The 27357-nt window shown below is 46.1% G+C and overlaps 1 protein-coding gene across 1 annotated transcript in view, besides 4 other annotated features; it reads left to right on the top strand.

Annotated features, from left to right (window-relative positions):
* FOXN3 (forkhead box N3) overlaps positions 1-27357 on the top strand; it is a 462989-nt gene that overhangs the window by 139373 nt on the left and 296259 nt on the right. The window lies entirely within an intron of this gene.
* Positions 12069-12988: an enhancer, noted in NCBI's record as "H3K4me1 hESC enhancer chr14:89933149-89934068 (GRCh37/hg19 assembly coordinates)". NCBI's record gives its function as "activates a minimal SCP1, AML or CMV promoter by ChIP-STARR-seq in naive and primed H9 embryonic stem cells {active_cell/tissue: H9 hESC(naive and primed)}" and the evidence as "EXISTENCE:reporter gene assay evidence [ECO:0000049][PMID:30033119]".
* Positions 12989-13908: an enhancer, noted in NCBI's record as "H3K4me1 hESC enhancer chr14:89932229-89933148 (GRCh37/hg19 assembly coordinates)". NCBI's record gives its function as "activates a minimal SCP1, AML or CMV promoter by ChIP-STARR-seq in primed H9 embryonic stem cells {active_cell/tissue: H9 hESC(primed)}" and the evidence as "EXISTENCE:reporter gene assay evidence [ECO:0000049][PMID:30033119]".
* Positions 16275-16774: an enhancer, noted in NCBI's record as "H3K4me1 hESC enhancer chr14:89929363-89929862 (GRCh37/hg19 assembly coordinates)". NCBI's record gives its function as "activates a minimal SCP1, AML or CMV promoter by ChIP-STARR-seq in naive H9 embryonic stem cells {active_cell/tissue: H9 hESC(naive)}" and the evidence as "EXISTENCE:reporter gene assay evidence [ECO:0000049][PMID:30033119]".
* Positions 25971-26871: an enhancer, noted in NCBI's record as "H3K4me1 hESC enhancer chr14:89919266-89920166 (GRCh37/hg19 assembly coordinates)". NCBI's record gives its function as "activates a minimal SCP1, AML or CMV promoter by ChIP-STARR-seq in primed H9 embryonic stem cells {active_cell/tissue: H9 hESC(primed)}" and the evidence as "EXISTENCE:reporter gene assay evidence [ECO:0000049][PMID:30033119]".

Here is a 27357-nt window from a genome sequence, read left to right as displayed (position 1 = left end):
AGAGCTTTTGGATCCATGCTTTGGCCTTCTAAATGCCTAGTTGAATTTTCCATAACCTGTCCTATTGGAAAAGTCTGATGTTAACATCTCAGTGGTAGAAGGCATTTAATGTTTTTCAAAAAGTATTTGTGCTATCCCACTTGGTTGTTACAATCATTTCTGTGAGGTAGGTAAGAGTTTGTATTCTAAATACAGAGAAACTAAGGACCACAGAGATCACAGAGAAAGACATCTGCAGAAAGGGAGCACAGCTTCACACCAGCGTTCATCACACCGCCACCACCGACTACAGCTCTGGGATTCTGGAGAGCTTGCTTTATTTAAAACAAGTTGAGAGTTTTGGCTCATCATAAGCCATTTTGGAATTGCACTAACTATCCTGAGAGAAATGGGTTTGTCTAATCCAGAAGAATGACTTTGCAACAGGGTCCTTTGTTGCAGTGGTGCCAAGGCCTGGGGGCTGAAGTTAGGGCTCCCGAGAGAGAGGGTATAAAGGCTGAACAGGCTTTAAAACTGAATGAAAACAACACAGGCTTCCAGGAAAGAGGACTGGCCTGGGTTTTCAGCAGCTCCAGTTGAAGTGTGTGTACCTTAAAAGCTGTAGCTTGTGGCAGGGTGGGTTTTAATGAAGTGGCCCAAGATCTTCAGGCTGAGGCAGTGGATGCCAGGGTGAGGCTGTCAGCCACAGTTTCAGCTCCCAGTCCTTCCTCTTTCAGCTGCATGATTGGGATGGGATTTCTGAGGTGTGCATTCTGAGAATATAATGTAAACTGTCTGAACCTCCATTTCCCCATCTGTAAAATAGGGGTAGGGATATTTGCCTTGTAGAGGTGTTGTGGTAATTTTTTTTTTTTTTTTTTTGAGATGGAGTCTCGCTCTCTCACCCAGGCTGGAGTGCAATGGCTAGATCTTGGCTCACTGCAACCTCCGCCTCCTGGGTTGAAGCGATTCTCGTGCCTCAGCCTCCAGAGTAGCTGGGATTACAGGCGTGCACCACCACGCCTAGCTAATTTTTGTATTTTCAGTAGAGACAGGGTTTCACCATGTTGGCCAGGCTGGTCTCAAACTCCTGACCTCAAGTGATCCGCCTGCCTCGGCCTCCAAAAGTGCTGGGATTATACACGTGAGCCACTGTGCTCAGTCGGTGTTGTGGTAATTAAATAAAATCATTCTCTTAAAGTACTTGGCCCAGTACTTTATTCTGTGGCAGCTCTTAAAATTACTATTATGGTTCTTATTACCCAAGAATGTATGATCCTGACTGATAATTGGAAGTAAGATTAAAATATGTATTTTATTTAAGTGAGAATTAATCTAAAAGATTTCCAAACCAGTTGTTTTTGTGTACTGAAAGATAAGATGAATTTGAGAATTCATTCATTGTTTATTCAACAAACAGCCCTTGTTTGTATTAGTCCATTCTTGCACTGCTATAAAGAAACACCTGAGACTGGGTAATTTATAAGAAAAGAGATTGAATTGGTTCATGGTTCTGCAGGCTGTACAGGAAGCATAGTGGCATCTGCTTCTGAGGAGGCCTCAGGAAGCTTCCAATCATGGCAGAAAGCAAGGTGGGGGCAGGCACGTCACATGGCGAGAATGGGAGAAAGAGGTGAGGGGAGGCGCCACACACTTTCAAACAACTAGACCTTATGTGAACTCAGAGTGAGAACACACTTATCACCAAGGGGATGACCCAAGCCACTCATGAGGGTTCCTCCCCCATGACCCAGACACCTCCACCAGGCCACACCTCCAACATTGGCGATTACATTTCAACATGAGATTTGGGTGGGGACAAATATCCAAACTATATCAGCGTTGAAGGCCTTGTGGAAGCTCTTGGTATAACCTGTGAGGGGTCATCAGGCCAGATCCAGTCTCCTCTCAAGGGATAAAGGACTTTGGTTATTTTTTTTTTCTCCTGTTGTTCTCATCAACATTATCACGATTGCCATAAAAAATTGACTCAATGCCTATTTACACATGGCAAATAGGCATCGTGCCGGCCACTTTAATATACATGGTCTTTGTCTTCCAAGAATTCAGAAATTAAGCTGGTCTAAATCCTTATTTGTTGCTGAAAGCTCTGGGTCTGGCCCAGAGCCTTCAAGTTGGTTCCCTTCAGCCCAGTCATCCTGGCTGGCCGTGGTGTATTCTCAAGATGCAGGCTTGGAAAGTCTTTGCCCCTTGGCTGCTCTGCCCGAGGAAGAAGGCCTTGGCACTCTTTGCAGCTGTGTTCTTGGCTGTTGTGGGTGAGGCCCCAAGGCCGAAAGTGGGAATGCCCTTTTAGTTAGAATTCATTTCCTTCAGAAGCACATAAACTACTTTCTTATCAAGGGTTGAAGTGACTCCTGGGGAGAAAGTGTTGATTTCTTTTTTTTAAGATGGCTTTATAACACCCTAGAAAAGATGTTTCACAGAAATTCTCTGAAGGAAGATAGGAAGATAAGGAAGTGTAAAACATTCTCAAGTGAAAGGAGAAATATGGAATACTCCTCAGATCGGGGATCCAGTCTGGTCTATTTCAGTGGTTTCTGGACCCTAGGGAGCTTCTGTGTGGGAGGCAGAGGCAATTCCGAGGTGCCGTGCTTGGGCTTAGTCTAAGGGGGTGGGGGACACAGACAGTACACAGATATGCACAAGTAGGTATTCAAACGTGAGTGTTCCCCCAGTCTAAGGCAAAATGAGAAAAATAAGCTCAAGACAGTGAGTTCAATATCCTTACTTGGCAAAACAAAAAGTTGGCCATGTACATACGCCTGTCCCTAAAACTATTTTTGAAATTTTATTGCTGGGTGAAATCCAGATCCCAGAGCCTCCTTGCCTGGGGTTCTCTTGCCCCTTCTCCTGGGTGTCATTCTTGCCTCCTTCTCTATTTCTCCCTCCTGGCGCCTTACTACCATTCACTGCAGGTCTGAAGACAGTGGCTTATCCTTCTTATGAAAAAGAAGATTATCACGTGTTAGAGATACACCAGCAATGAAGACTTTCTTCCTGGTTTAAGGAGTGGGGGGATAGCATTTGAAAAGATAAACAGGCATCGGTCTTCAGCACTCTAGGTCACTCAGGTTTATCTCCTGGTGGAAATGTGGCGGACCCAACCCCCTGCGAAGGCAGAGGTGACTCTTAATCGCTGTGGAAAATACGACACTGTGCTGTTTCCCTCTAGTGAATATGTTTATGTGGTTTATGTGTCCATGTTGATTTCTCTCTCACTCTGATGTGTGCATATGAACTCCCAAAATGGATATTTGAGCATTAACCAGAGATCAAGTCATTTGAGCCCAAACTCAACTATGCTCAAAGCTCATAGCTCCCTCAGTGGTGGTGTCAACATAGTACACGCGAGAGCATTTTGGTTTAATTGGGCAGAATTTGGTTCAGAGGAGCAGTTGGGGGTCCGAGCAGGGGCATCTGCCGGGAGTCTGAGGAGGAAGGGCTGTTTTGAAGTTGGGATCTCTTGAAGGAGAATGGCATTCAGATTGGCCCAGTCAATATGATAGATGTATCAGCTCACGGTGAAGGAGGGGAGAGGCTTTTGGAAAGGGCATTATCTCACCCCAAAAGTGCAGTCAGATGGCCTCTGAACAGGTGGACTTTTACCTAACACTAGGACTCTAGTACAAAAAGGTGTGTGTTTGTGACATGCAAACATCCGAGAGCAAGAAGTTTAAACCCATTCCTCAGTGTTTATTCCTGCTGGAAGTTGATGAGACTTAATTGCCTTTGCCTACCCCTCCCACGGCACCCCCACCCCAAATACCACAGGTTATCCTTATCTCACAGCGATACATAGTTTCCCAGGTGAACAAGGGGCAGGAAATAGCAGCTACCGAAAGGTCCAAATTACTCATCAGTTCAGGTTTAATAGATTTTCCCTGTGTTGTTGGATCTTGTGTATTGACACACTCTCTCCTGGATCAGTCTTGGATAAACTGGTGAAGAATCGGGTAGTACCAAGTTCTGTTTGAAGACTATATGATTCTTCATTATCCCACTGGGGCCCTATAAGTTACATAAGGAAATGAATGGCCTGCTGGTTGCTCTTTTATGGAATGGCACAAGGCTGTTTGTAGGTAGTTAGGTGCTTGATAACTATTTTTGTTTAACTTTTAAATTGTTATTTTTTTTCTTTGAGATAGGGTCTCACTCTGCTGGCCAGGCTGGAGTGCTGTGGTGCGATCATAGCCCACTGCAGCCTTAAACTCCGGGGCTCAAGTGATTTCCCCACTTCAGCCTCCCAAGTAGCTGGGGCTACAAGCATGTGCCACCATGCCCAGCTAATTTTTTAATTTTTGTAGAGATGGCGTCTCCCTAGGTTGTCCAGGCTGATCTTGAACTCCTGAGCTCAAGCAATCCTCCCACCTCAGCCTCCCAATGTGCTGGAAATACAGGCGTGAGCCACTGCTCCTAGCAGTGATGACCTACTATTCTAACTACTACTTCTTACTAGAGATGGCCTATTATTACCACAGCATTTGATTTATTTCTTTACATGAATGTAACTGCAACATTATACTTGGTTACAATATTGTTTTATATATAGGTCTATTCATGGAATGCATATGTATAAGTAAATATCTATGTCTTTATATATATGGGTGTGTATAAATAATGTCATTTGATTCTGGGACACTTTATAGGATTTGTTGTTTCCTTAAGATATGGAAACACCTGGCCGGGCGCGGTGGCTCACGCCTGTAATCCCAGCACTTAGGGAGGCTGGGGCGGATGGATCACGAGGTCAGGAGTTCGAGACCAGCCTGGCCAACATGATGAAACTCCATCTCTACTAAAAATACAAAAATTAGCCGGGCGTGGTGGCGGGTGCCTGTTATCCCAGCTACTCGGGAGGCTGAGGCAGGAAAATTGCCTCAACCCAGGAGGCGGAGGTTGCAGTGAGCTGAGATTGTGCCACTGCACTCCAGCCTGGGTGATAGAGCAAGACGGCATCTCAAGAAAAAATAATAATAATAAATAAATAAAAAGATATGTAAACATCTAAATTACCACCATTAGAACTGGTTCCACTTTTATATCATTCAGTCTCCACTTCTTTCTTGGCTCTTCTACCCGAGACATACAAGTAGCCTCTGGTTGTCTGTGTGTTCAACTGAACAAAAATGTCAACAAGCTGCTATTTATTTTATTAGACAGCTTGAGCAGAGATGTTTGGTCTGATTGCCGCAAATTGTTAGCTTATCACTGAACTGTCCTGACGATTCTTATTATTCAATTTGCATTGCTTAAGATAATAATTATTACTCCATAAAAGAGCATGATGCTTTTATTTGTACAGTTCTTTCATTAATAATTTAATTGACTATTATAACCAAGTGGTTCTGCCACACATACATCAAGGTACTTACAGACTGGCCCTCGGCACCTTGGAATATCAGAATGTAGGTGTAAATTACAAGGCTTGGGGTGAGGATGTGGTGGTGGGCAGGTCCTTTGGCTTTGATAGCCAATTGGTTGGTCATGTCTTTTTCCCCCTGTTTATTTCCAAGCACTTTATTGATTCACCAGCAGTGACTCACTCTGATCTGGTTATTTTAACAATCTAAGAAATTAGATCATGGTATAGTTATTTTGGCCACTAAAATGGCTAGATTGGTTCTGATTTATAAGTGAAAAAAGTAATGATGGCTAAAACAGTAAATCTGACCTAAGATGAGTAAATCAGTAGGTTTGTGTAAACAGCATCTGTGTCTGTAGGGTCTGTTACGTAGCAATGATGAAGATGTTATCGGTCACAGCTTAGCAGACTTTCTTAGACTGCATTGCAACTGTGTAAGACATATGTGTTTTGATGTATTTTGCTATGGAAAAACTTAATTTGTGGATTTATTTTTTTTTTTAGCGTGGGAGAATACTACAAATTTTGTCCTAAATTCATGTTTTGTGTATTAAATAAAATGACAAATTGAAATATGCCTTTGGAGAAATGAGATAATGATGTTGAACTTGGCTCTAGTGGGTGTCAACCCATGGTAATGTTCAAAGAACATCTGGAGTTTTAAAACTCTGGATTTACCAGGAAAATAAAATAATTCTCATTTGGCCAGCCCATCCTGACATCTACAAGAGTGAATGTAGCTGTTGGTCAAGAGTGTCGTGGAGGCCAACTGTGGTGGCTTGTGCCTGTAATCCCAGCATTTTGGGAGGCCAAGGCAGGAGGATCCATTGAGTCCAGGAGCTTGAGACTGGCCTGGGCAACAAGGAAGACCCTATCTCTACAAAAAAATTAACCAGGTATGATGGTGTGCGCCTGTGGTCCCAGCTACTTGCGAGGCTGAGGTGCGAGCACCACACAGAAGTTTGGTTGAGCACAGAAGTTCGAGGCTGCAGTGAGCTGCAATCACGCCACTGCACTCCAGCTTGAGCAAAAGGAAAAAAAAAAAAAAGCGTTGTGGAGTAAATCTTCCATATCAGAAATTGGAATTTATTAAAATGATCACCTTCTGGCCGGGCACGGTGGCTCACGCCTGTAATTCCAGCACTTTGGGAGGCCGAGGCGGGAGGATCACGAGGTCAGGAGATCAAGCCCATCCTGGCCAACATGGTGAAACCCCATCTCTACTAAAAATACAAAAAATTAGCCAGGCGTGGTGGGAGGCGCCTGTAGTCCCAGCTACTTGGGAGGCTGAGGCAGGAGAATGGCGTGAACTCGGGAGATGGAGCTTACAGTGAGCTGAGATCGCGCCACTGCACTCCAGCCTGGGTGACAGAGCGAGACTCCATCTCAAAAAAAATAAAAAATAAAAATAAAAATGATCACCTTCTCCTCCATTGGTGGGCAATGCAAATGCATTTGGAGCAGGTTTTACTGTCTGACTTTGCCCCTGGAAATGTGTTTGCTGAGTTCAGGAAAGGAATTGGTGATAAATTAACCTCACAGAAGGGTTATGGAAATTGTTTGAGAGCTCAGCTTTATAATTTACCTTTTGGAAAGAAGTCTGGCATCTGATAATTAAAAATTATGTCTACATATATAATGACCAACTGAGTTCCTAGTACTGTGTACTTTAAGGATGCACAATCTATCTTTTTTTTTTTTTTTTTTTTTGAGATGGGGTCTTGCTCCGTCACCCAGGCTGGAGTGCAGTGGCGCGATCTCGGCTCACTGCAAGCTCCACCTCCTGGGTTCACACCATTCTCCTGCCTCAGCCTCCCTAGTAGCTGGGACTGCAGGCGTCCGCCACCACGCCCAGCTAATTTTTTTGTAATTTTAGTAGAGATGGGGTTTCACCATGTTAGCCAAGGTGGTCTCGATCTCCTGACCTCGTGATCTGCCCGCCTTGGCCTCCCAAAGTGCTGGGATTACAGGCGTGAGCCACCGCGCCCGGCCTGCACAATCTATCTTAATGCAATTAAACACTTGACAATTACCAACTTGGAAGAAGAAGGTCACTTCTGGGCGGCTGAGTTGTGCACATGTGTCACTCAGAGTTGGCTGGGTTGTGGGGTAACAGACAAACCCCAAAACTCAGTGGCATAAAATAGGGAAGTTTCCTTTCTTTTTTTTTTTTTTTGAGATGGGTTCTCACTCTGTCGCCCAGGCTGGAGTGCAGTGGCATGATCTCAGCTCACCGCAACCTCCGCCTGCTGGGTTCCAGCGATTCTCCTGCCTCAGCCTCCAGAGTAGCTGGGATTACAGGCACCCGCCACCATGCCAGCTAATTTTTGTATTTTTAGTAGAGACAGGGCTTTGCCATGTTGGCCAGGCTGGTCTCGAACTCTTGACCTCAGGTGATCCTCCCACCTTGGCCTCCCAAAGTGTTGGGATTACAGGCGTGAGCCACCACACCTGGCCGGAAGTTTCTTTTCTTGCTTACTCTACATTTCTGTTGAAGATTGATGAGGACTCTGTTCCAAGTCATCTTTATTCCCATTCCTGGATCGAAGCTGATGGGTCATTCCTCATCTCCGTGGCCGAGGGAAAGGTGCAAATGACGAACCAGGTGCTGGTTCCTAAAGTTGTCCAGTAGTGACACGTGTCACACATTTTATTGGCCATAGCTGGCCACCCCTAACTTCAGGCAGGCAGGGAAATGTAATACAACTGTGTAGTTGAAGGAGAGAGAGCTGAAGCATTTATAAATGGCCTTGTGATGTTTGTAGTATGTGTCTTCAGTATTGTAGATAGAACTCCAGAGACCTAGCTCAACTGAAGCAAGATAATTTTTTTTAAAGTCTTTTTTTTGAGACAAGGTCCTGCTCTGTCTCCCAGGCTGGAGTGCAGTGGTGCAGTCACGGCTCACTGCAACCTCAGCCTCCTAGGCTCAAGTGATCCTCCCACTCCTACAGGTGTGTGCCACCTGGCTAATTAAAAAATATAAAAAAACTGTAGACATAACAGGTCTTGTTATGTTATCCAGGCTAGTCTTGAGCTCCTGGGCTCAAGCAATCCATCCACCTTGGCCTCCCAAAGTGCTGGGACTACAGGCACGAGCCACCACAGCCGGCCCAGGAGAATTCTTTACATCCTTCTGAGGAAAATGGATTACTCTCAGGTAGGGTGGCTTCAGCTCTTCAGCACTGTCCTTTCTAGGGTCTGAACCACAGGGTGGCTCAAGGGTCTAGGTAGGTGCCCATAATCTCTTTTGCTCAAAAATATAAGCCACTCAAGCAAACATACTGTGCGCTTGCTATGCATTGCATGGCAACCTGCAGCCTCCCGCCTCCTGGCCAACTAGAGGGCCACTTTCATGCTCCTCCTAGACAGAAAACTGGAATGGCCTCAGTGCCTTAACTTCCCTCCTACATGTTCACTGTGGATTGTCCCAGTGTTTTAAGTCATTCTTTTTATTTCATTTCCCCTATTGGGATCTGCATGTTTCTCCTTGCAAGGACCAAGCCCAGTTGGCTTGGACATTGGTCTCTACTTATTGCTGAGTGGTAGAGAAGGTTCCTCCCCCTCATGAAGGTCAGGGAAGCTTTTGCTTTCCTTGACTTGGTTCTCTCTGTTCATTTAGGTTAGCTCTACTGGGCCGCTCCGAGGCATTGGCTGAAAATCTCCGTGCTTGGGACGGAGTGCCTGTGTCTGTGCCTGGCTTGTTGGCATAATGCGTTCCATGGGGGCCTTAGTTATGTTTTTCAAGGCCCCAAAAGAAATTCATGTCCACATAAGAGATGTTTACTTTGCCAGCAAATTCAGCTATCTGGAATATAGCCAGGAGTTGGGTAGGAATAAAAAATATCTCAGAGAGAAAAACAGTTATCTCCAAATCCATGCACTAAATTTTAAGTAGATTGCTGGTTTTGTGTTCTCATTGCAGCCACATTTCCTAATTAACTTGGTTTTCTGATCCTCTTTCATAGATGAGAAAACTGAGGCACAAAGAGGTTAAATAATTTGCCGAAAGTCTCAAAGCTATGAGTGGTAGAACAGGCTCTTATGATTCTAGAGTCAGTAGAATAATTGGTGTTTATGGTGGTGGCAGTGAGATAAGAAAAAGAGTAGAACTGCATTTAATGCTTTTTTTTTTTTTTAGAAAGTCAGAGAGAAATATGTAATAATTGTAGGTTGATTCCCTTCAAAATAGCCAGTTTTGTTTTCTAATTCTAATGTGTGATGAGTATCAGTTGGCTGAGAAATTCCACTAAGTAGGACTGAGCTTCCAGCGTCTGCCAAACAAATGAGGATTTGCTGAACATCTAGTTTAGCTGGTGTATAAATAGACGCTTATGAAATACTTTTTTGCCCAATCAAGATGAAACCACGACTCAGTCTGTGTTATGATGATCAGCTTGGTTCTGGTGTGCTTGGGTGGGAGGTGGACAGCTTCAGGAATATCTCAAAACAGGGGCAGGCCCTGCCTGCATGACTGAAGCTGGTTGCCTCTTTAAAAAAACGCACCTGCGTGGAAGCCCGTGGCGACCAACTCGCTGACATTCACCAGGATCCTCTGTTTGTGTTGCACTTCACAGTTTTCAAAGCACGGACGTGTACATGGAACGATCCTGCGTGTTAGGTGCCTTTTCTCTCCTTCGGATGAAGACAGTGAGACCTAGAGGGATTTACCCAAAGACACAGTGCCAGGGAGTAGCAGAGCCCATCACCTAGACCTCACTCTCTCTCCCCCAGAGCTAGTCCATCAGCTCCTGCTCCGTTCATCCACTGGGGCAAGGCACCCAGAGGGCGATCAAAGCAGACCCATTTCCTACTCCAAGGAGCTTTCTTTCCCAGTTAAAGAAGTCCAGGTCCACAGAGGAGGTGGAGAAAGAAAACGAAAGCCCAGTCACAACATGAACTCTTTGCTCCAAGACAGAACAGAGACTTGAGATAACAGGAATAAGAGAAAAACACCCTTGAACCTCAGGCAGTGTGGAGACAAGGCTTTCCTTATCTACTAGCTGCAGGCAGCAACCTTCAGTTGGAGAAGCCCCTCAACCCTGCTTCCTGGACTGAGGACAGGGCTGAAACTTCTGCCTGCCTTGGGATTGCTGGTCACCCTAACCCAACTGGGTATGCCTTGGAGAGGGGAGGAGGCAGGGATTGGCCGATGGCTGTCAGACACTCCTCCTGGTGCTGTGGGTCTGGGCATCTTAGGGTGATCCCCGACAGGTGTTCTGACCTCAGGCTTGTCTGTGCCACTGACTACCTCAGGGTCACACTTGAAGCCAGTTAGGGGACCCCTGGGTCTCAGTTTCTCTCATCTGCAAATTAAAGAGTTCTCAACCTCACTCATAATAAAAGAGGTTCAAATCAACACAAGGAGTGCCATTTTGTCACTTGCTTATTAGAGAGCAGATATGATGCAAAATTTGAGAATATCCAGTTCTGGAGAGGGGCTGGGAAAAGGCACGTTCACTTGGCTTTTGTGTCAGGGTATATGGGCAGAGCATTTTGGGAGGGCATCTGGCGACGTCTCTCAAAATGTATGATGCACAGACCCAGCAAGTTCACCCTTTGGAATATGTCTGGTGGATTTTCTCACTACAGTATTAACAACTGGTGAATAAGGATGTCTTAATATTGTTTGTAACAGCAACAGCCAAACTGGATACAACCTCGATATTCACCACCAGGGGACTGGTTCAAAGCCCAAATGATACGTCCTGGCACACTGGGCAGCATTTAAATAGGAGGATAGGGAGGGGGTACGAAGATATAACAGGAGTAAATAATAGCAATACATATTTGAGTGCTGTCTGCATTCTAAGAAGTTTACGTGTGTTAACTCATCTATCCCCATCATTCAGATCAAAAAGCTGAGGCACAGTCAAGTTATATAATCTGCTCAAGATCATACTGTAGTTAGAAATTGGCATGGGAGTGTGGAGTACAAACCAAGTGTGTGTGTGTGTATGTGTGTGTGTGTGTGTGTTTTGAGACACAGCCTTCCTCTGTCACCCAGGATGTTGTGCAGTGGCTTGATCTCGGCTCACTGCAGCCTCCACCTCCCTGGTTCAAGCAATTCTTCTGTCTCAGCCTCCCAAGTAGCTGGGACTACAGGTGCCTCCCACCATGCCTGGCTAATTTTTGTATTTTCAGTAGAGACGGGGTTTCACCACGTTGGCCAGGCTGGTCTTGAACTCTTGACGTCAGGTGATCCGCCCGCCCCAGCCTCCCAAAGTGCTGAGATTACAGAAGTGAGTCACTGGGCCCAGCCTGTAAACCAAGTATTTTGGCTTCAGAACTTTGCTTATTGCCTGAAGTACAAAAAGCAAGTTTCAGGAAAGTGGGATCCTATTTATAAAAAAAAAAATAATCAAATTATGTAGATGCATGTATATATGTGCATGCATATATATGCTCATATTTTAATTATTATTTTTGGCAGGATCCACAAGAAAAAAGTAGGAAGGACTGGGGGCTCAGGGCAGGAGGAAAATGCCAGGAGTGCTAGCTCATGCCTGTAATCTCAGCACTTTGGGAGGCTGAGGTGGGAGGAAGGATTGAGGCCAGGAGTTTGAGACCCTCCTGAATAACATAGTGAGACCTAATCTCTACCCAAAAAAAAAAAAAAAAAAAAAAAACAAAGAAAGAAAAGAAAAGGAAGAAGAAGAATTAGCTGGGAGCTTGGTGGGCTTGGTGGCACTTACCTATAGTCTCAGCTATTTGGGAAGCTAAGGAGGGAGGACTGCTGGAGCTTGAGCCCAGGAGTTTGAGACTGCAGCTGGGCAACACAGTGAGACCCCATATGTTTAAAAAAAAAAAAAGCAAGAGGGAACAAAATGTTTTAGCTTTAATTTTCTTCCTTCCTGTGCTGTTTTGCCTTTTTTTTTTTAAAGGGCATGTTTATCACTTAAAAAAAATTTACATTTGGCTAATCCGTTTATGTCGGGGATTAGGTGGACCATTTAAATTTTCTTTTAATTTTTCGGCATTTAAAAAATATGTCATCAGTAATTGTATTTTAAAGTGAAACAGCTGGACATAACTCTCTCCAAGAGCCCCTTCCAGATTAGAAATTTCCCATGTTCCCAGCCCCTTTTCTACAACGTGTAATGAAGCCATGTTTCCTGCCCACAAGGATCTCAGAGTTACAGCAGGTGGTGGATGGCGACACGCACCCCGGGAACAGGCGAAGCTGTGGGATCACACCAGTCTCTGCTGGATGTGGGCTTGTCCTGCCGGGCCAGCCCTCACTTTCTTCCCTAGCAGAGAGCTGTGTCTGAGTCTGGGTGGAGAGCCACCGTGAGAAGGGGGTGTGATGTGCAGCTGCCTGTGCTTGGGAGTCCCGGGCAGGCTCCAGCAGGCTCCGTCCTGGATTGGATCTGAGTTCATGATTATTACCATCGCCCAACAGTGGTAGGTCCCAGCAACGAAAGCTAACGCTGCTTTTGTGTCAGGCGCTGTGATCACGTCTTTATGTGCAGACACTGTAGCTACTGTTTTTCCTCCCCATTCCATAGATGAAGATTCAGATGTTCTCCCTTTCTTCTGCCTTACTTTTTCAGTAATGAAAGCAGTGTGCCCCCACCTTGCCGTAGGCCTGAGGGGATCAGTGTGGTGACTGGAACAGTAATTGAAATGAGAAAACCCTCGAGAGAAATGTAAAACCCAAAGGGAGTGGTACAGGTCCTTGGCCAGCTGCCCCAAGTCCCATGTAATTCTCTGTGCCGTGCTAGAGGGGTGGCTTTAGTTAGGGAGGCCTTGTAGCCTGTGGTCCCTGGTGAGAGTCTGTTCACACCTCCCTTGCAGCACTTCCTGTGTTGTAACTGCTGCTGCGGGTGGTGTGCTTCACTAGGCTGTGGGCTCCTGGTGGGCAAGGTCTTGATTCATCTCTCAAATCCAAATGCCTAGAATGGGCCCTGAATTAGGACTCCAAGCACGTTTCCAACATGGACAGGGTTAGTGCTCTTGGGCAAAACAGTTATCTGAGCAGTCAAGAGGCCTTAGAAAGCAACTGGCACGAAAAACATATTCCCTGCATTTGCCGTCAATTGGAAGAGGATGCAAAAGAGGAGAAATAAGTGGAGCTTCATTTTAGTTTGTGGCAAAGTCATACTTGTCAGCAAAATGGCGGCCCCCGGGAGGTCTGGATGTATTGGTTACTCACATCTCAGTTTGCCTTAAGCGGATCAACTTGAATGCCTTAGACGACCAAGTTGTAATTTCGGAAGGCACAGATACTAATGGAAAAGAGATGAAAAGGAAGAAAATGAAGTGGAAGCTGCAGACTAGAGGCATTCAGTCGTTGCTGGAGGCTGGAATACCAGGAAGTTCCTGGAGGGGCAGCCCTGTGTTTGCTGGCTGACTCCTCCCTACCCACCTGCTCAGTGACGATCACACTGTGACTTATGTGGGGGGCAGCTGGTAGATACTTTGTGTGTGCATGTGCATAAGTGAATAAAGCTAATGAGATGGAGATGGGAATGACCCTGATATTCTGTTCAAATAATCAGCCTGTCTTAAAGGACACTGTTTTATGTAAACCTAAAAACTGGAAACAATGTTTGAATTAATTTTACAATACAATCCAGAGTGATGTCCTAGCTTACTGCATCTAGAAAGCTCTTGAGTTGAGATTTAAATGGAAAATTCCAAGTGTCTTCTCCCTCAGTCAATGATTAAGAACAAATCTTCATCAATTGGAGAGGATGTAACATAGCCTCTCAGTACCTGAAATGATAAATAGCTCAAGTTGGAGGTATTAGATCACACCTCACATTCTTTGCAACTCTGAACCCTGTGAGTTTCAGGGAGTCTCTTTTGAGTGCAGACAGTGGTACAAAACATAACCTTGTGGGACCCCCTTGAAAAGTTCTTCTGGATTGTATTAGTCCGTTCTCATGCTGCTAATAAAGACATACTCAAGCTAGGCGCGGTGGCTCACGCCTGTAATCCCAGCACTTTGGGAGGAGGGTGGATCACGAGGTCAAGAGATTGAGACCATCCTACCCAATGTGTTGAAAACCCGTCTCTACTAAAAATACAAAAATTAGCTGGGAGTGGTGGCGGGTGCCTGTAGTCCCAGCTACTTGGGAGGCTGAGGCAGGAGAATCGCTTGAACCTGGGAGGCGGAGGTTGCAGTGAGCCAAGATCGTGCGACTGCACTCCAGCCTGGCAACAGAGCAAGACTCTGTCTTCAAAACAAAACAAAACAAAAAAAAACAAAGACATGCCAGAGACTGGGTGATTTATAAAGGAAAGAGGTTTAATTGACTCACAGTTCTGCATGGCTGGGGAGGCCTCAGGAAACTTACAATCATGGCAGAAGGGGAAGCAAACACATCCTTCTTCACGTGGCGGCTGCAAGGAGAAGTCCTGAGCAAAAAGGCCCTTATAAAACCATCAGATCTCTGGAGAACTCACTCACTGTCACGAGAAAAGCAGCATGGAAGTCAGGTGCGGTGGCTCACGCCTGCAGACCCAGCACTTTGGGTGGCCAAGGTGGGCGTATCACGAGGTCAGGTGTTCGAGACCAGCTTGGCCAACATGGTGAAACTCAATCTCTACCAAAAGTACAAAAATTAGCCGGGCGTGGTGGTGGGCAGCTGTAATCCCAGCTATTCGAGAGGCTGAGGCAGGAGAATCGCTTGAGCCCCGGAGGTGGAGGTTGCAGTGAGCTGAGATCGTGCCATTGTACCCCAGCTTGGCGACAGAGCAAGACTCCGTCTCAAAAACAAAACAAAACAAAACAAAAACAGAAAAGCAGCATGGGGGTAACTGCCCCCATGATTCAATTACCTCCAACTTGGTCCCTCCCGTGACACATGGGGATTATGAGAACTGCAATTCAAGATGAGATTTGGGTGGGGACACAGCCAAACCATATCACAGATATTACTGAAAAGTTAAGCAAAAGGATAGAGCCCATTTTATAAACAAAGTTAAGGAAGCTTTCTCAGCAAAGGTTTCTTGGAAAGGGGAACCACTCGGAAGTTTTCCTGCTGTTGCTGAAAAGATAGCTTGATACCATGGTCATGTGTCTATGACACCAGGATTGCTTTTCAAGGAGCTATAGAGGATGAGTGCTCTTGGCCATGAATCAGGGGAAGGCTATCTCCAAGTAGAGTAGGCACTTGAGCTGCCTCTAAACTCCAAGTTAGCTTAGGGACTCCCAGGTCTAGGAAATGGGGCAGGTCTGGGAAACAGAAAGAAGGTAGAGGAATCTCATGGCCCCTCCTATACGTGACGCTTCCTTATTCCTTTGTGCCACATCTCTACTCAGCTGAGAAATCTGGAGGAGACTGGGATCCACTCTGTCTGCACTACCTTGGCAGGGAACAGTGGGCTAAGAGACCACTACCAGGCCGGGCGCGGTGGCTCATGCCTGTAATCCCAGCACTTTGGGGGGTCGAGGCATGTGGATCACCTGAGGTCAGGAGTTCAAGACCAGCCTGGCCAACATGGTGAAACCCCACCTCTACTAAAAATTCAAAATTCACTGGGTGTGGTGGCATGTGCCTGTAATCCCAGCTACCTGGGAGGCTAAGGCAGGAGAATCACTTGAACCTGGGAGGCAGAGGTTGCAGTGAGCTGAGATTGCGTCACTGCACTCCAGTCTGAGTGACAAGAGCACAACTCCATCTCAAAAAAAAAAAAAAAAAGAGAGAGAGACCACTACCCCTGCATATCTCTGATTCCCCAGTCTCCACAGCCAAACTTTTGGGGGAGCCCTAGTAACTTATGGCCCTGAAGCAATGATGTCATGTCCCAGGCTCCAGTGGCTGAGGCTGTACTGAAGAGGTCTCAGGAGCCAGATGCTTTTGTGGAATGGAGGCTTTTCAAAAATACACTCTCTCTGCTCTAGAAGAACCAAATGCTGTGGGGATAATTGGAACCCAGTGTACTTGGCTAGGAAGACCTGCCATGGGTAAGAATGGAATACTTCAAAATTGCTTAACCTGCATGCAGTCTTGTGAATCTTTACTTTTAAACTTATTGCTGTGGTTTGAAAGTGTCCTCCAAATTTCATGTATTGGAGACTTAATCCCCAATGAGGTAACATTGAAAGCTGGGTCCTTTAAGAGCTGATTGGACCACGAGGGGTCTGCTGTCATGAATGCATTAATGGGTCAATGTGTTCTCATGGGAGTGGATCTGGTGGCTTTTTTTTTTGAGACAGAGCCTTGCTCTGTCGCCCAGGCTGGAGTCCGCTCACTGCAGGCTCTGCCTCCCGGGTTCATGCCATTCTCCTGCCACAGCCTCCTGAGTAGCTGGGACTACAGGCGCCTGCCACCACGCCCGGCTAATTTTTTGTATTTTTAGTAGAGACGGGGTTTCACCGTGTTAGCCAGATCTTCTCAATCTCCTGACCTCGTGATCCGCCCTCCTTGGCCTCCCAAAGTGCTGGGATTACAGCCACTGCGCCTGGCCGGTCTGGTGGCTTTTTAAGAAGAGGAAGAGAGGGCTGGGTGCGATGGCTCACACCTGTAATCCCAGCACTTTGGGAGGCCAAGATGGGTGGATCATGAGATCAGGAGATCGAGACCATCCTGGCTAACATGGTGAAACCCCGTCTCTACTAAAAATGCAAAAAATTAGCTGGGCGTGGTGGCGGGCGCCTGTAGTCCCAGCTACTCAGGAGGCTGAAGTGAGAGAATCGCTTGAACCCAGGAGGCAGAGGTTGCAGTGAGCCGAGATCGTGCCACTGCACTCAAGCCGGGGCGACAGAGCGAGACTCCATCTCAAAAAAAAAAAAAAAGAAGAAGAGGAAGAGAGACCTGAGAAAGCATGTTAGCATACCCAGCCCCCTCCATTGCCATGTGATGCCCTGTGCTGCCTTGGACCTCTGTAGACAGAGTCCCCATCAGGAAGAAGGCCTTCACCAGATGTGGCCCATTGACCTTGGACTTTCCAGTGTCTACCACAGTAAGAAATAAATTCCTTTTCTTTATAAATGATTCAGTTTCAGGGATTCTGTTATAAGCAACAGAAAATAGAGTAAGATCCTACACTCTAAGTGTTTCCTATTAACTTGCCAGATATATTCTCCAATAATAGTGGCTTAGGTAGGTGGGAGGCATGATTAAAATAAAGAAATTACACTGGAATGATATGCTCCTGGTGAGGTGGCTTTTGACAGTATTAGCCAGATTCCTCAGTGTCCCAGTCCTGTGTATTTGACCTTGGAAGACTTTACCAATATCAGGAGTTCTGCTAAGGAAGAGGAGGAGAAATTGACTTTTATCCTCATGATTGGGAGAGCCCATCAAGGTTGCCCTTCCTACAATAGAGGGGTTTACCCCAAAGGCAGATTCCTGCTTCCACCTTAAACTCAACTTTCTAATCAATGTTAAATAGTCTTCTGGATTTCCTTCCAGCCAGCAAGTATTCAGAGCTCCTACCATGTAATTAGGAAATAATTTATTAATGCAAAAGTCGATATTTACAAATCTGATTTTACTAGCTGGAGTGGAAGCTCACAGAAGAAGGGGCCTGTCGTATGCACTGCCAAGACCCCCTGTGCCCAGTCCTGCTCCTGATAGGATATGGGATCCCTAAGAATTGGATGCCTGGGTGCTATCAAGGCTTTCTTTCATTTTGGCCCTCAAGTTCTGGAATACCCTTTTCTCCCCTTTTCTAGTTTGCTCCCTGCTTAAATCCTACCTATCTTTCAAGGTCTGTCCAGATCGTTGCCCCTGGATGCTCCTCCTGACTACACCAGCTCTGGGGCTGCCATTTTCCTTCTGCCTCCTACTCTAGACATCATGTTGTAGATTTCAAGTAATTTCCTACAAATCATAGTTATTGTGCTACATTTTGAAAAGGACTTGCTTTTTATTATTATGTTTCAAATTGGAATGGATTCAAGGATAATATTACTCTCTGCATTGGTGTTCTGATATGCTTTCTTTGTTAGTTCATTAGTGTATTTATTATTCATTCAAGAAAATATTCTTTGTGTGTCATGGGCTGGGAAATACCCTGATATGATGCAGTGTTAAGCAAACTGCAGGGTTCCCTCTTCTCCTGGTGCGTATATTCTGGTGGTGCATACATTCTGGTAGGTGAAGACAGACAACAGGCAGACTGAGAGATTTTTTTTTTTTTTTGAGACAGAGCCTCACTCTGTCGCCTGGCCTGGAGTGCAGTGGTGTGATCTCGGCTCAATGCAACCTCCACATCCCAGGTTCAAGCGATTCTCCTGCCTCAGCCTCCCGAGTAGCTAGGACTACAGGCATGCACCACTATGCCTAGCTAATTTTTTGTATTTTTAGTAGAGATGGGGTTTCACCATGTTGGTTGGCCATGATGGTCTTGATTTCTTGACCTCGTGATCCGCCTGCCTCGGCCTCCCAAAGTGCTGGGATTACAGGTGTGAGCCACTGCGCCCAGCCCCCTCCCCCCCCCTTTTTTTTTTAAGATGGAGTTTCGCTCTTGTTGCCCAGGCTGGAGTGCAATGACGTGATCTCGGCTCACTGCAACCTCCTCCTCCTGGGTTCAAGCGATTCTCCTGCCTCACCCTCCTGAGTAGCTGGGATTACAGGCATGCGCCACCATGCCTGACTAATTTTGTATTTTAGTAGAGGTGGGGTTTCTCCATGTTGGTCAGGCTGGTCTCGAACTCCAACCTCAGGTGATCTGCCCGCCTCGGCCTCCCAAAGTGCTGGGATTACAGTTGTGAGTCACCGCGCCCGGCATTTGTCTTCATTTATTTTACCAAAGACATGCCTCTTTGTGGATTCCCCAATGCCTAGCCAAGGTAGGAACTTGTAGAATAATTGATTGATTGATTGATTGATTGATAACTCTACTTAATTAATTTTCTCCATGTTCCATCCTTTGGATGGATAAAGGCAATGCCTACTACGTGCAGATCTAAACTGGGAGTGACTCCTGGATGCAGGCTAACGTTCCTCCTCCCCGGCAGAGTGAGAGGAACAAGAAGCGGGACAAATGAAGCCCGCTCACTGTGCACTCTGACGGTGTTTCTCTGCTAAGTGTCTGTGTTTGCATATCATTGGCATTTGTTATGCCGGAAGAAACTAGGTGTGGGATGTTATTTAGATGTTTCCTTGAGTTTTCTGGAGCGGAGAGCGATTCCTGTTGGTTACTAGATCCCACACAGATGAAACAGCACCCATGCGCCAGAAAAGGAATGTTCGCATTTAATTGAAGCACTTAGTATTTGGCTCTGACCTTTGGAGGATGTCATTTTGGGGTAGCAGCTCTGTTAGACACAGCCTGCCAGCCTTCCCCGGAACGCTCAGGAAAAAATGGTGTAACTAGGATGTCCTTGTCTTTTACAACAAAATGCAAGAAAAAGAAGCTCCTTGCTTTCCCCACATCGAGAAGTAGCTTGGCTTTCTAGAGAAAAGAAAGTGAACGGTGAACTCCAGATAGGGTGCTGAGGAATCCCAGGAGAATTCCAGCAGGGACCAGACTTCCAGGGGAACATCTTGGCATTCCTTAGCAGCTGTCGGGCAGAGTTCGTATTGTCTTCCCCTCTTGCTGTAGGGCTGACCTTGGTAAGCTGTTATCATCCCACGCACATATGTACCTCACAGTCCTCTTTGAGTTGTTCATCTGGCCTTGGGCACCCATTGTAGGAATATTGCCCTCGGTGGGGGGATTCTGTACTATCCAGGCAATTACCTTCCTAGCAAAGGGTTCCGGGTTTATGGATGTACCTGAGGGCCTGCTTTCTAAATCCAGTTATCACTCACAAAGACAGGGGAAGCCATGAAAGTTGTGGGCCAAGGGAGTGAGGAAGGGTATGCTTCCATCTGCCCCCAGCCTCTTCTCTGGGGCTAGCCTCTCTGCCTTGCTGGATGAACAAGAAGTGAGTTCCACTAGCAAAAGCATTTGCTTTCCATAGCTGCCTAGACGGGGCTGAGTGGTGTATTCTAATCTCGGCTCCAGTCCACTGCAGGCTCTAGATCAAGTCCTATAATCTCGCTGGAGCTCATTTTCCCCACGTGTAAAGTAACCACTATGGTACCAGATCCTAAACCTCCTTCTAATGCTAATGTGCTGTCCCTGTTCCTGAAAGGCTAATGGTTTGGGTGCAGATTTAAATTCACTCTGATTAAAAGGGCTCTTTTAATGGCCTAGCTCCTCAGTGGATTGTCAAGAAATAATGTGACCTTTTAGGAGTTTCCTTCCAAAGGTTTCCCAAGCCCCTACTGGTTTGAAGTTGCATCAGTGTCATAATCTTGTCATTTTATGTCATCATAAGGTCATTTAAAATGGCCCTGTTTTTTTTCCCCTTTTTTTCTTCTTCTTCTTTTTTTCCTGATTCACCAAGCACAGGTCTTGTTTCTCGTTTAAAGGATTCACTCTGCACGTTTCTCTGTGAATGCCCAACTGCTAGTTTGTGATTCACAGACCAAAGTGTTGAGATTCCTGCAAACTCAGAACATATTAGCTTAGCCTTCTTAAAAGTGGATGGGGTGAGCAGTAGGGAATTACTTTTTCTAGTCTGTTTGGAGAGCTTGCAGATGAATTTGTTTCCTTTTGTCCTTTTCCACTTAGCAAATATCGACTTTGACTCTTGGCTGTGAGTGGAGCTGGACTGAGCGTGGTGAATCTTTATTTAAGGGCTTTATCTTCTCTGGGGCAGGACTGGCCAAAACTTGTGGCTGGAGTGTGATTGACTGGGACCTAGAGGGGGTCTTGATTGCTCTGTTTGCTGAGGCTCACATGGAACCAGCAGAGAGGGCTCCACACCCCCGACAAAATAGCCTGCAGTGTTGAGAGGGCAGCTGGATAGCTTTTTGGTAATCATTTGTTTTCAGGCATGCCAAGGCTGCACTTGAAACCCAAGTTGAAACTCAAATTATTCACAAGCATAATAACCAAACTCCCAGTTCACATTGTATCTCCCTGCTGAGATACAGAAGGAATGGGGTCATTTTCCTGAGAACTGCATTGTAAAATACTTGGTAAGAGGGCATCATGAAGACCGTTGGCGTCCATGGATTACCCGCATGCTGAGTTTTGAGGGAGCACAATGTGCTAATCCCAGGAAATGAAGTCCTTTAACAGAGAGTCCAGGACACACAAGGAGGGGCTGCTCAAGTGGCTGTCTCCAAAAGTGCACCTTGTGTGTTTCTAATACAAGGATAAGGCAAGGGGAGCCGAGCCTGCAAGGCCCAGAGAGCCCCGGGCAAGGCAAAGGGAAATGATTCGGATGACAAGAGACACTGAAAACTACAGATATTTCTTATGGGGGAAAAAGCCTTAGAGGGCCTGGGTGGAGAAGTGCTGGGAGCCACTCTTCCCTCTTATCTGATGTTTGACCATGTCACCTTCCTTCCTCCAAATCTCCTGATCACTCTGACATCAAGAGTAATGTTCAGCAGGTGAGACACAGCACTCTCCATGCCCACTTCCTTTTTTTTTTTTTTTTTTTTTTTGAGATGGAGTTTCGCTCTTATCGCTCAGGCTGGAGTGCGATGGCGCAATCTTGGCTCACTGCAACCTCCGCTCACTGCAACCTCCACCTCCCAGGTTCAAGCAATTCTCCTGCCTCAGCCTCCCAAGTAGCTGGGATTACAGGCATGTGCCACCACGCCCAGCTGATTTTTTCTATTTTTAGTAGAGATGGGGTTTCTCCATGTTGGTCAGGCTGGTCTCGAACTCCCGACCTCAGGTGATCCACCCTCCTCAGCCTCCCAAAGTGCTGGGATTACAGGCATGAGCCACCGCGCCCGGCTCCATGCTCACTTCTTGTTTCTCCCAAACGATTGTATGATTAATGAAAATGGGAGAACAGGGGACAGATAGCCTTCATGTAGAGGATTCCTCTGGGTAGGGTTTCTGCAGATGGGCTGATGGATTTCCATGATTTTTCACAAAGCAGGAGAAATACAATCTCCCTTTCTTCCCTTCAAGTAGGTACTATTGTTGTCCCCCATTGTCCAGATGAGAACCTGAAGTTTAAAGTGGTTAAGTAGCTTGCCCAAGGTCATACGGTAAGAGTGGTGGAGCCAGGATTTGTCCCTAAGCATTAGGCTCCGGGTTCCATGCTTGCAGCCACTATGCATTCATTGGATTTTCCTAGTAAACAGGTCCAGGTATCAGGAGCCCAATCAGAATCAAACCTCAACAGTTTGGGCCAGAGCTGGACCAGAATGGCTTGCACACCTGCTTGTTCTCCTTGGCTGGTCTTCGCGTCTTTCTGCCTCACACACCTTTACAGGCACTCCGTGAAGGTCTCTAGAAAGAATGCACCAACTGACAATATCCTGACTAAAGCTGCTTGCATGGAGAGACAGGAGAACCATTGTATTTAAAGAGGCTATCGCCATGTTGTTTATTAACCAGTAGCTCCCAGAGTCAAGCTGTAGACTTGAATTGTGTGATTTTGTGTGACACTTGTGATTACAGGTCATGCATGGGCTGCAGTGTGAGTCTGAATCATTAATAACGGTGATACAAATTTACTTCCCATTTGCCGTGTATAAGTAGTTCATATTCAATGTTTCCCATACATCATTCCAGTCTTCCCCCATACCCTGGAGAGGTGGTTATTTTTATTCCCCTTCACAGACAAAGGACCTGGGCTCAGAAAGGTTAAGTGACTTGCCCAGGGCCACACAGCCTATAATTAACCCATCTCTGACTGGCTTCTCAGCTCAGTCTCTTCCCACTGCATCTTTCATTCACTTATTTATTATTTTATTTTATTTGCGACAGCGTTTCACTCTGTCACCCAGGCTGGAGTGCAGTGGTGCGATCTTGGCTCACTGCAACCTCTGCTTCCTGGGTTCAAGCGATTCTTATGCCTCAGCCTCCCGAGTAGGTGGGATTACAGGCTCCCGCCACCAAACATCTGGCTAATTTTTGTATTTTTAGTAGAGATGGGCTTTCGCCATGTTGCCCAGGCTGGTCTTGAACTCTTGGTCTCAAGCAATCCAGCCACCTTGGCCTCCCAAAGTGTTGGGATTACAGGCATGAGCCACTGCACCCGGCCTCATTTATTTATTTTAGAAAAAATACTTATTGGGCACCTACTATGTGCCAGGCATTGTTCTCATTGCTGGAGATGCCATGGGGTATAATGAGAGACAGAGCCAAGGTCTCCCTTTTCTGGAGTTTACACCAGGCAACAGCAGCCTGGTATAAATGGGCCTGGGATACCCACATAAATTAGGAGAGTAGGGGCACGTTGGCCAAACCCTAATATGAAAGCCTTGAACCTGCAGGGCCCACGGGCTCTTTTGTGGTTAGTTTTTTTTTTTTTTTTTTTTGGAGACTGAGTCTCACACTGTTGCCCGGGCTGGAGTGCAATGGCGTGATCTCGGCTCACGGCTACCTCCGCCTCCCAGGTTCAAGCAATTCTCCTGCCTCAGCCTCCTGAGTAGCTGGGATTACAGGCATCCGCCACCATGCCTGGCTAATTTTTTATATTTTTAGTAGACACGGGTTTCACTATGTTGGTCAGGCTGGTCTCAAACTCCTGACCTCGTGATCTGCCCGCCTTGGCCTCCCAAAGTGCTGGGATTACAGGCATGAGCCACCGCGCCTGGCCTGTGGTTACTTTTTAATCTGGCATATAACTGTAGAGATTCGGATCCTTTAAGGAAGCTTAATTATTTATCAGTATTTATTAACAGGCAAGTACAATTACGGTAGGAGATCTAGAATGGGCCATTTCGGAGTTAGGCAATTTGCAGTTTTAAAACTGACTTGGGAGCAGGTTGCAAAGGGTGGGCTGTCTCCTTGAGATTCTGTCCTTCTTGCCTCCTTGCTTTCCTTCCACACCCACTCAGCCCTCAGGTCCGGTCCCGCCCTGCTGTCAGATAAGAAGCTGATACTGCAAAGAGACTGCCTGCTACGTGGCTGTGGCCGGCTCACTCAGCTGGTTGTTAATCCAGTGGGCGCCCTCGGCGTTACTCCAGTGGCTGCTGCAGGCATTTAGGGTGGAACTTGCGTGGAACTGACCTGTTCTTTGAAGCAAGTTTAACATCTCTGCCCCCACCCATTAGATGGTGATAACATCTGCCCCTTCCTTTCCCTGTTCCTGTACCAGCCCCCGAATGACAGCATTCATTTCTGCAGCTGAGAACCTAAAATGTATTTGTATTTGTCAAAAACCCTTTGACGGTTTTCCCTTGGCTGACTCTAACTCCAGATGATGCTAGCGGAGCTTTTCTCAAATTTTCCTTTTCCCTTTGTTTCCCAACTTCAGGCCCTTGTCTGTCCTCCAGGATTTCCACAAATGCCGATGGCATATCGGCCGGGCAGGGAGAGCTCAGGGCCTTCTATAAGGAACATTGGAGATGATTCTCATCAGGCCTTTAATCTCACTGATGAGGAAACTGGAATGCGGGAAGAAAGCCTGCCCGAGCGAACATTCCTGAGTCGCTCTCCTGCATTGTGTCCATTACACTGGCCGCTTCTCAAGCAAAAAGTATCTTTAGTTGAGGAGTTATCTGAAGAGTTGGGATTTTGTGCCATTTATCCAATGGAATTACTGGAATTAAATACACAGCCAACAGCCACTATTCTCTGGAACATATAGGAACCATATCCCCACTCCCTCTCCTTCTCCAGGGTGAGATAAGGATGACCTTGGGTTAGGGATGGGTTTGAAGACAATTAACAACATGAAGATGGAGTTCATTTTTTCCTTCTGATTATAAGTTATTGTTTAATGTTAAAAAGAACATTAACATTCTAACCAATCAAGAAGTGCTTATCATGGAGACTTTAAACCTGCTATGATAAGCACTTCTATCAGCAACTCAGTTTACCTCGTTCTTTTAAAAGCTGTAGTTTCCATTATGTGAATGGACCAGGATTTAGCTAATGATCCCTCATTCACCAGAACAAGTTTATTCCGGTTTTTCTCTTTTACAAGTGAGGCAGGAGAATGTTTATCCAGTTTTTCTCTGTTACAAATGAATCTGAAATAATCCTTATACATGCATCTTTTTACACAATTGCATATGTCTTTGTCAGCTCAGGCTGCTATAACAAAATGCCATAAACTAGGTGGCTTAAACAATAAACATTTTTTTCTTACTGTTCTGGAAGCTGGCAGGTCCAATACTAAAGTGCTGGCCATTTTGCTTCCTGGCGAGGACTCTCTTTGTTTGCAGACAGCCACAGCCACCCTGGTCTCTCTTCTTTTTTTTTGAGACGGAGTCTCACTCTGTTGCCCAGGCTGGAGTACAGTGGTGCAATCTCGGCTCACTGCAACCTCCGCCTCCTGGATTCAAGCGATTCTCAAACCTCAGCATTTTGAGTAGCTGGGATTACAGGCATGTGCCACCATGCCCGGCTAATTTTTGTATTTTTAGAAGAGACAGGGTTTCGCCATGTTGGCCAGGCTGGTCTCAAACTCCTGACCTCAGGTGATCCTCTTGCCTCGACCTCCCAAAGTGCTGAGGTTGTAGTCATGAGCCACCACACCAGTCCTTCTTCTTCTTCTTCTTAAGAGGGCATTAATTTCATCTTGGGGACCCCACCCTCACGATCTGATTTATAAACCTAATTATCTCCCAGAAGCCCCTCCTCCAAATCATCTCACATTGGGGATTAGGGCTTCAACATCTGAATTTTGGGGGACACAAAACCTCAGTCCATAGCAGTGTATTTCTGTGCAATGAATGCTAACAAGATGAATTGGTGGGTGAAAGCTGATGTGCATTTTAAATTATAATCCACATTGCCAGATATCCTCTAAAAATGATGGGGCCCACCAAAACAAGAGTGCCTATTTCTTCACTTCCTCACTACATTGCATTTTTACCCATCTTTTCAATTTTGTGGTCAAGTATTTTTGTTTTTAAATTTTATGGATACACGATGGTCGTACATATTTATGGGGTACATAGGAAATTTTGAAATAAGCTGCAGCTTTTTTTTTTTTTTTTTTTTGAGACGGAGTCTTGCTGTGTCGCCCAGGCTGGAGTGCAATGGCGTGATCTCGGCTCATTGCAAGCTTTGCCTGCCGGGTTCACACCGTTCTCCTGCTTCAGCCTCCCGAGTAGCTGGGACTACAGGCGCCCGCCACCACGCCCGGTTAATTTTTTTTTTGTATTTTTAGTAGAGACAGGGTTTCACCGTGTTAGCCAGGATGGTCTCAATCTCCTGACCTCATGACCTGCCCGCCTCGGCCTCCCAAAGTGCTGGGATTACAGGCTTGAGCCACCGAGCCTGGCCTGCAGCTAAGTATTTTTAAAGAGACAGCATTATCATTGGGTTCATTTTAAGTTCTTTTTTTAGTTCTTTTTTTTTGAGACGGAGTTTTCCTCTTGTCTCCCAAGCTGGAGTGCAATGGCGCCGTCTCGGCTCGCTGCAACCTCTGCCTCCCAGGTTCAAGTGATTCTCCTGCCTCAGCCTCATGAGTATCTGGGATTACAGGTATGTGCCACAATGCCAGGCTAATTTTTCTATTTTTAATAGGGACGGAGTTTCACCACATTGGCCAGGCTGGTCTGGAACTCCTGACCTCAGATGATCTGCCCATCTCGGCCTTCCAAAGTGCTGGGATTACTGGCGTGAGCTGCCGTGCCCGGCCTTTAAGTTCATTTTTTAAGTGTTTGTTATCTCTTACACCAAAGTACAAGGAGTTTAAGTTGTGGTGGTTATGTTTTAGATAGGCACTTTGAAAGGTTTTGATTTCTGGTTTATATGTTCAGGTTTTTGGAAACCTGAAACTAAAGTCTCGTCCCTTCCTAACATTTTCCTTCATTTCCTTTTGAGGCTGATTTCTTCTCTGGACCCCTGTCCTTAGGCTGTTGGGTGGGTGCATCAGTTTTCTCAGGGCTGCATGAGGGGAAATAGCCAATTTCCTCCCAAGGCCCATCTTACTATGGGCCAGGGCTGGGGAAACTTCTTGAAGGTGGCCTATTTTAAGCTGAGCTCCCATCAAAACGGGCTTTCCCCAGCAGGCTTTAGAGCACGCATTTCCTAACCCAGATGGCCTCGCAGCCTGGACACCTGGCCGGGGAGAATGAGCCTGCACCTCCTGTGTCCACATTAGTGCAGCTCCTGTGATG

This window comes from Homo sapiens, chromosome 14 (genome assembly GCF_000001405.40).
Source record: "Homo sapiens chromosome 14, GRCh38.p14 Primary Assembly".
In the NCBI taxonomy this organism is placed as follows: Eukaryota; Metazoa; Chordata; class Mammalia; order Primates; family Hominidae; genus Homo; species Homo sapiens.
Note: the sequence above shows the minus strand (reverse complement) of the source record. Positions and strands in the feature narration are given on the sequence as shown.